The sequence below is a fragment of the Homo sapiens genome, chromosome 8 (genome assembly GCF_000001405.40).
Source record: "Homo sapiens chromosome 8, GRCh38.p14 Primary Assembly".
Classification (NCBI taxonomy): domain Eukaryota; kingdom Metazoa; phylum Chordata; class Mammalia; order Primates; family Hominidae; genus Homo; species Homo sapiens.
In genome coordinates this window covers 20,377,656-20,384,919 of record NC_000008.11, presented here as the reverse complement: position 1 = coordinate 20,384,919, position 7,264 = coordinate 20,377,656, and the positions used below count along the sequence as shown (strand labels likewise).

General features: G+C 45.5%; 1 annotated feature.

The window, feature by feature from the left end:
• Positions 681–1,182: an enhancer, noted in NCBI's record as "H3K4me1 hESC enhancer chr8:20241249-20241750 (GRCh37/hg19 assembly coordinates)". NCBI's record gives its function as "activates a minimal SCP1, AML or CMV promoter by ChIP-STARR-seq in primed H9 embryonic stem cells {active_cell/tissue: H9 hESC(primed)}" and the evidence as "EXISTENCE:reporter gene assay evidence [ECO:0000049][PMID:30033119]".

The following is a 7,264-nucleotide window of genomic DNA, read 5'->3' as shown; positions in this document are numbered from 1 at the left end:
CTTGCTATAAAACATGACTTTCTAGAAGGCCTTTAGTTAGCCTTTCAAAATACTGCCACCCCTAAGCCTCTCTTATATAAAAATTCTGGAATCACAAGCATTGACATTTCCCAGTCAGTCACTGGCTTTCCAGCCATTCTTGGATAGGGTCCTCCCCAATGACAAGTCAAGATACCATGACAGACTGGGCACAGTGGCGCACGCTTGTAATCCCAGCACTTTCGGAGGCCGAGGCTGGAGAATTGCTAGAGCTCAGGACTTTGACACCAGCCTGGGCAACATAGTAAACCTTGTCTTTACTAAAATTAGCCAGACATGGTGACTCAGGCCTGTAGTCCCAGCTACTTGGAGGAGACTGAGGCAGGAGGATGGCTTGAGCCCAGGAAGTGAAGGCTGCAGTGAGCCTTCACTCCAGCCTGGGTGACAGGGCAAGACCCTGTCCCAAAAAAAAAAAAATGATACCATGACAGATTAAAGGATCAAAGATGTCCAGAGGCTTCCCAATGATGAAGGGAGACCATTTCCCATCTTGCCCCCAGGCTGCCAGCCCTCTGAGGCCAGTTCTCCAGGGAAATCACATCAGAACCTATGGAGGCCAATCCAATCCTGCTTTGTGGCCCAAGTCGCAGACATCAGTCCACACCAGCATGGGCACGCAGACTCCCGCCTGCCCTTCAGCTCAGGGCCCAGTGCCTGTGAGAACCAGGAGACCGTGCGGCCCGGAGGTGGCTGTCTCCAGGCTGCGGCTCTCGGCTGCCACGCGACTATTCACAAGGGGTAGGTAGCTAAGAGGAGAATGCCTGTGTGCTGTTCAGTTAAAAGAATAAAACGACCCATAAGGCTGGTAATAACCATCCCTGTGAAGAGGTATGAGCGACACTAAAGCCGTCACGCTAGGAAGAAGGAAGGATTGCTGTTATCTTCTCGTGCTCTCCCCACTGGCAGGAACCTCAGACATGCGTGGTCATTCACTCTGGGCTCAGCTGCAGCTGGTCAGAGAAAGAATGGAGCTGACAGAGATGGATTTATTTCAGTTCAGTCAAGCACGCTGGGTGCCCACAATGTGCCCAGCCCTGTCTCAGACAATGTAGCAAACTGGCCCCCAAGCCAATGTGCTTCAGAACTACCCAAGGAACTGTTATACAAAGACAGACCCTAGGGTTCCACTTCTGCATATCCAGAATCAGAAATCTGTGATTTTTTTTTTTTAACTCCCCAGGTGATTCTGTTGCAGCTTGTCTGGGGCCTGGCATTTGGAAACCACCGCGGTGAGGAATGTAATAAAAGCATAAAATACAGTTTGTCCTTAAGGAGCTTACCATACAAGCAAAGAGATAAGCCTCATTCAAATGAAGCAAATTTAATTATTTCCTCATCTGTGTTCGAATAGTGCTTTTATACCTTTCTCTATCATAGCTTTTGTCACCTTGGTTTGGAAATGTTTATTAGTCTCTCTCCTTTACAAGCATTCTGTGAACTATTTGAAGGTAGGGGCTATGTTTATTCATCTTGGATACATTCAGTCACGTGGTCTTTTTACCATTCATGCATTCTTTTATTTAAACAAATATTGAGTCCACCAGACACTGTTCTGGGCTCTGGCAGTGTGGCAGAAAGCAAAAGTGACCACCCTCTCACTTTCCTAGAACTTACATTCTAGTGAAGGGAGGAGGATGGGGAGAAACAAAATAAATGAATAAGACAAGTGCCATAAAGAAAATAAAACAAGGTAATGAGAAAGAGATTGACAAGGAGGCCAATATTTGATAGCATGGTCATAGGAGACTTCTCTAAGTTGGTGACTTTTGAGCTAAATCCCAAAATGATAACATACAGTTTATGGCATAAACAACTGGAAAGAGAATCCCTGGCAGAGACACCAAGTGCAGAGGCTCAAAGGTTGCAACCAACTTTGGTTCAGGCTGAAGCAAAGGAGAGAAGGCCAGGGAGGTGGAACTTAGTGACTGACAGGGAGAGAAACAGGAGACGGGGCCAGAAAGGTGGGCAGAGGCTAAGTGACATGCACCCTCATAAGCCATGGGTAAGGATGGTTCTATTTTATTTTCTAGTTCTATTTCTATTTGATTCCAATTGCAATAGGACAAACACCACTGGAGAATTTTAACCAAGGTGATTAACCAACATGATCTGATTTCCTCCCTTCAAGAATCCCTGTCTATGGAGAATGCATTACATTGGGGCAATAGTGGAAGTGAGGTGATTTCAAAATCTGGACTGGAGATGCTGGGCAAGGCAGAAGAAGTGGAGAAAAGGCCAGGCACAGCACATATCTTGGAAGCATCTCTCAGCCCGATTGACAGATTGATCCTGGAGAGACAGAAAGTCATCAGGGATGACTCCTAGATTGGTGAATAAGCCCAACCCTGAAACATAATAATAAGCACTCAATGAATGATTACTGAACAATTGGATAAATGAGTATAAAACAATTCAACATCAGCATCTCAAACATAATTACATTCCAATGTGTCTGGTGCAGACAAAAGTGCTCTGGGTCATGAAGAAAGATGTCAGTGTGGATTCAAATTGCCTGGAGGCAGGATTTGAATTCTGACTCAGAAGTTAAGTAGCACTGGGTTACAGAAGCAGACAGGAAGGGGCATTCTAAACCAGAACATAAAAATGAGCCTGGTATGGCTTTGTGTGTGGTTTTTTGTTTATTTGCTTGCTTTCTTGTTTGCTTTCATCTTTTTGGCTCTAGGTGGTTTTTTTTTTTCAGGGATGGGAGCTTCAGGAGAAGGGTTGAGACAACGGCACTGGCAAAGCAGAGCATAGAGATGCACTTGGATGATTATGAAAACCGGAGAAGAATATGAAGTGCCTCGAAAGCCAGGCAGCAGTTTGGATTCACAAAGCAATAGACATCCATCACAGGCCCTTGTCTAGGGAAGCAGCACACCGTGGGTGATTTACGTCCTGAATTTGGAATGGTCTGGGGCTGGAGGTGGGAGCCGCAACACAGAGAGACAACAGATCAGATAGAATTACAGTAATCCAGACACTAGGTTCATCGAACTACCCTCCCTGAAGCAAACCTACAATGCCACAAGCCTGGGCTCTGACTAGGAAGAAATATCATTGTGCCAGAGGCTCTCACAGCTGGCCAGAGGGGACAGGGCTGGAGAACGGGTTGGGAGGCGGGATGTGGGAAGAAGCAAGTAGCTCTGAGCCAACCAAGCAGCCCTTACTAAGGCTTGGAGAGGACACCTAAGATTCATCAGTTACAGGTGGGTGCCCTGGAGCAATCTGTGTAATTTCTGTCTCTTTCAAACAGATTCCAAATCAAAGCAGAATTCCTGGTCCTTCCCAAGGCATTTGCAGCTGCAGTGAGGGGGTCACATCTAGGGGAGCATCGTATCCTCCCTGGCAATCAGGGACTTAAGGACCAGCCATGACCTAACCCCAACCTGGCAGCCCTTGCAGGGAGTGAGAGAGGTGCTCCGTAGAGGATGGAAGCAGAGGTCCTTTTTCCTGCCCATATTCGAGATGCTGCTAGAACCTGGCCTTTTCCCAGGTTCTCTCCCTCTGTCTGTCTGTCTGTCTGTCTGTCTCTCTCTCTCTCTCTCTCTCTCTCTATATATATATATATAATATATGTAAAGTATATATATAAAGAGTATATATAATATATATAATAAATATATATATAAATATATATATATATATATATGGGAAAAGCCTAGGTTCTAGTAGCACCTCAACTATGAGGGAAAATATATATATGTGTGTGTGTGTGTGTATATATGATATAAGTCTCTCACACAAATCTGCGAGTTTCAGGGACCCCATCCCCACCTCCAAGTCACCAGCAGGTCAGTAAACGACCATCTGTCATTTGGAAGCTGGAGGCAACAGAAAGGGGCAATGGATGATGGAGTCAGGGCTCCAGAATGAAAGGGAATTGATGGAGTGACAGAGAATGGCAGCAGCAGCCTCTGGTGGACACTCGCTGTCTTACAGCCGGAAGCTTCAGGCTGCTCCAGCCCTGGAAATGAGGATGCCGGCCCCACAGCCAGGAGACAGCAATGCAAGCTAAATCTGCAAGGAGGCTGGGATGGTTCTAAAAGGCAGCCATTTAGAACTCATCAGAAATGATTCACAGACGGGCTGCACCAGGGCCGCTTGGCTCGATCAAGGAGCAGTGGGTCTTTCCTGAGGTGCACACACAGATGACAGCTTCTGCCCCGCTAATTTTTATTCTGAAGTATAACAAGAAGTATCAAGGATGCAGTCCATTGACAAAAAAAGGGACCTAGCATGTTCCTTCTTACTTCAGGCTCCTTCACTGTATTGTCCTTCACCCCAAGAACGCCACATGTACACCTGCACAGACAGACACACCAGTCAGTCAACAGATATTAATTGGGCATCTACTGTGCCTCTGGCATGATGCTAAGACCTAGGGACATAGATGACTATGACAGGGTCCCTGACCTCCAGGGGAAGATCAAGCCCTGTAGAGTTGGGTCCATTAGAGAAGTTTTCCCAAGGTCAACATATTGGAGTTGTATCTTGAATGAGGGGTTTTTCCCAATCAAATAACAATGATGAAATTCCAGGAAGAAGAAATAGCATGTAAAGGGGCAGGACATCCTGAAAGAGTCTAGGGAAAGGTCCAGGATGCTCAGAGGTTCTGTATGGCCAGCAGCAATGGCAGAGAAGATGAAAATGGCCTGGTCAGTTGGGAACAGATTATAAAAGGCCTCTGCTAAGGAGGCTGAGCTGCAGAGAGAGAGATTAAATCAACAGTTCATTGGAAACAAATAGATGTTGACATCTGGTGACTGAGGACCCAGGAATGCCTAATCTTACCCAGCAAATCATTTGTGCTCTCCATGAGGTCTTCAAGAGAGCATGTACACACCAATGGCATGACTGTCAGTTTTGCAAGCCCTGTAGACTCCAAATCAGGAACATGTGGCTTAGAATTGAAGACCCATGTGGGATCTTTTGTTCTCTCTGCTCCCAAACCTAAATTAAGAGAAAGAAGGGCATCGTGTGATCATCAGGACCTGTCTTCACACTCCTACCCTACCCCTTCCATGGAAAGAGCTGTGGCCAGACTGCCCTCTTGAGACAGGAGGAAGAAGAGCACCAAACCCAGATGCCAAGGACCAATTAAGTGCCATGACTGTGGAAATTCCACATTGCAGTAGTTTAAAACTGCACTCCAGTTTCTCCCTGTGACCTGTCTCAACCAGTGAGGTCTCTGAGAGAACCATAGATCTCATCAGGGTTCTTTCTTCATCATGGGAGCCTGGGCTACCTTTCACTTTTCCCAGTTTTCAAAAAGTGTACATACAAGATGCACGGTAATATGACTGCACTCTCCCACAACCCAACACAGCTTCAAAATTTAGAAGACAAAACTGAAGCATTAGCTTTTCCCAAGCAAAAGCTAATTCCCACTTTGTCCGTCAGTCATGAAATATAGCCATGTGGTAAATATCTAGGGAAAAAGGAAAAGTGAGTTGGGAGAAACTTGCTATTGAGCTGACCAGGCCACCATATGCAAATTTTATAGAAACTCCAGGCTTTAATAGGACTGCTCGGTCTAAGGCAGATGGCAGAAGAGGCCCTCCAGAAAAGTGACCTTCAGCACAGTGACCAGACCCACTAGCATGTGGACATAGGGCAGTGGGGTGGCTGTGAATGAATGCTGGTATATTAGACTAGCAATTTCCAGGATCATCTCCAGGGGCCAAATGAGAACACTTCCCTTGAGCCTTTTAGTGCTGGAACATTGATTAAGCTTCACTTTCCCAATTGCAGTTCAAACATTTTCTTCTATCACCAAGCTTCTCACTGAAGCAAGGCCTGACTTTCCCAAATAATGATGTAACAAATCAAATAGCACTTCTCCTGAAATCTCCCTCAATTCTTCCAGCTGTAAACAGCCTCTCCACACTTAGCACTTCTCTAATCCTTCTCTGTGCCTTTCTTGTAATTGCATATATGTGTAATTTCTCTCCTCTTAGAAGATTATAAACTCCTTGAAGACAGAAGCAAAGAGCAACTAAAATTGGAATTCTTTTTCTTCTTTATATGGGAAGGAGAAACTCCATGGAGCTCTGTTTTGAACTCCAGGGGTAGGTTCATAGCTCCCACAACTCTCAGCGTAACCCCAGCTAACCTTGGGGATGAGACACAAATGGCAAAGCCAGGCAGGCACACAGGCAGAGTAGGAAGTGGCTTGGGTGGTATTCTTTGGGGAATGCAAGGAATTTTCCTACTGTGCTCCCAAACCTCCCACCCTCAAAACACAGCACAATATCTGAAATTCCATCATTATTAATACATTCCTTTCAGTCTTTGAGATTTCTCTCCTGTATTAGTCCATTTTCACCCTGCTATAAGGATCTTCCCTGAGACGGAGTAATTTTTAAAGGAAAGCAGTTTAATTGACTCACAGTTCTGCATGGCTGGGAGGCCTCAGGAAACTTACAATCATGGCAGAAGGAGAAACAGGCACCTTCTTCACAAGGTGGCAGGAGGGAGAAGAACGAAGGAGGAACTTCCAAACACTTGTAAAACCATCGTATCTCATGAGAACTCATTCACTATCATGAGAACAGCATGGGGGAAACTGCCCCCATGATCCAATCACCTCCTTCCCTCCACATGTGGGGATTACAGGTCCCTCGGTCAAGAGGTGGGAATTACAATTCAAGATGAGATTTGGGTGGGGACACAAAACCAAACCATATCATCTCTTTTGCAGTTCCCTCTTGAATAAGCACTAATTATCCCATAAAAGGAGAATATCTTAAGCCATAGCCATGCAATGGCTTGGCACGGGATTCCTCAGCCCCAGTGATAAGTAAAGTTTTACAGGACTATGAGAATGCCAGCCTGAAGGTAGGTATTCGAACATGTAAAAATCCCTAAGGATAAGGTTTGTTGTTTGGTTTTAATCTACTCTTATAACCTCAACACCCATTAATGTGCCTGGAACATAGAAGTTGCTCAATAAATGTTTGCCAAAAAATGAATGACTGAGTGAACGATGAAGGAAAAGTCCAGAAGACAGTGATATTCCCCTGGGAAAGGTCAAAAGCCAGAAAAAAATTCCCTGGGGTTAGAATTTGTTCCTTTTTTTAAGAGACAAGGTCTTGCTCTGTTGCCTAAGCTGGAGTGCAGTGGTACAATCATAGTTCACTGCAGCCTCACACTCCTGGGCTCAAGCAATCCTCCCACCTCAGCCTCCCAAGTAGCTAGGGACTACAGGCATGCACCACCATGC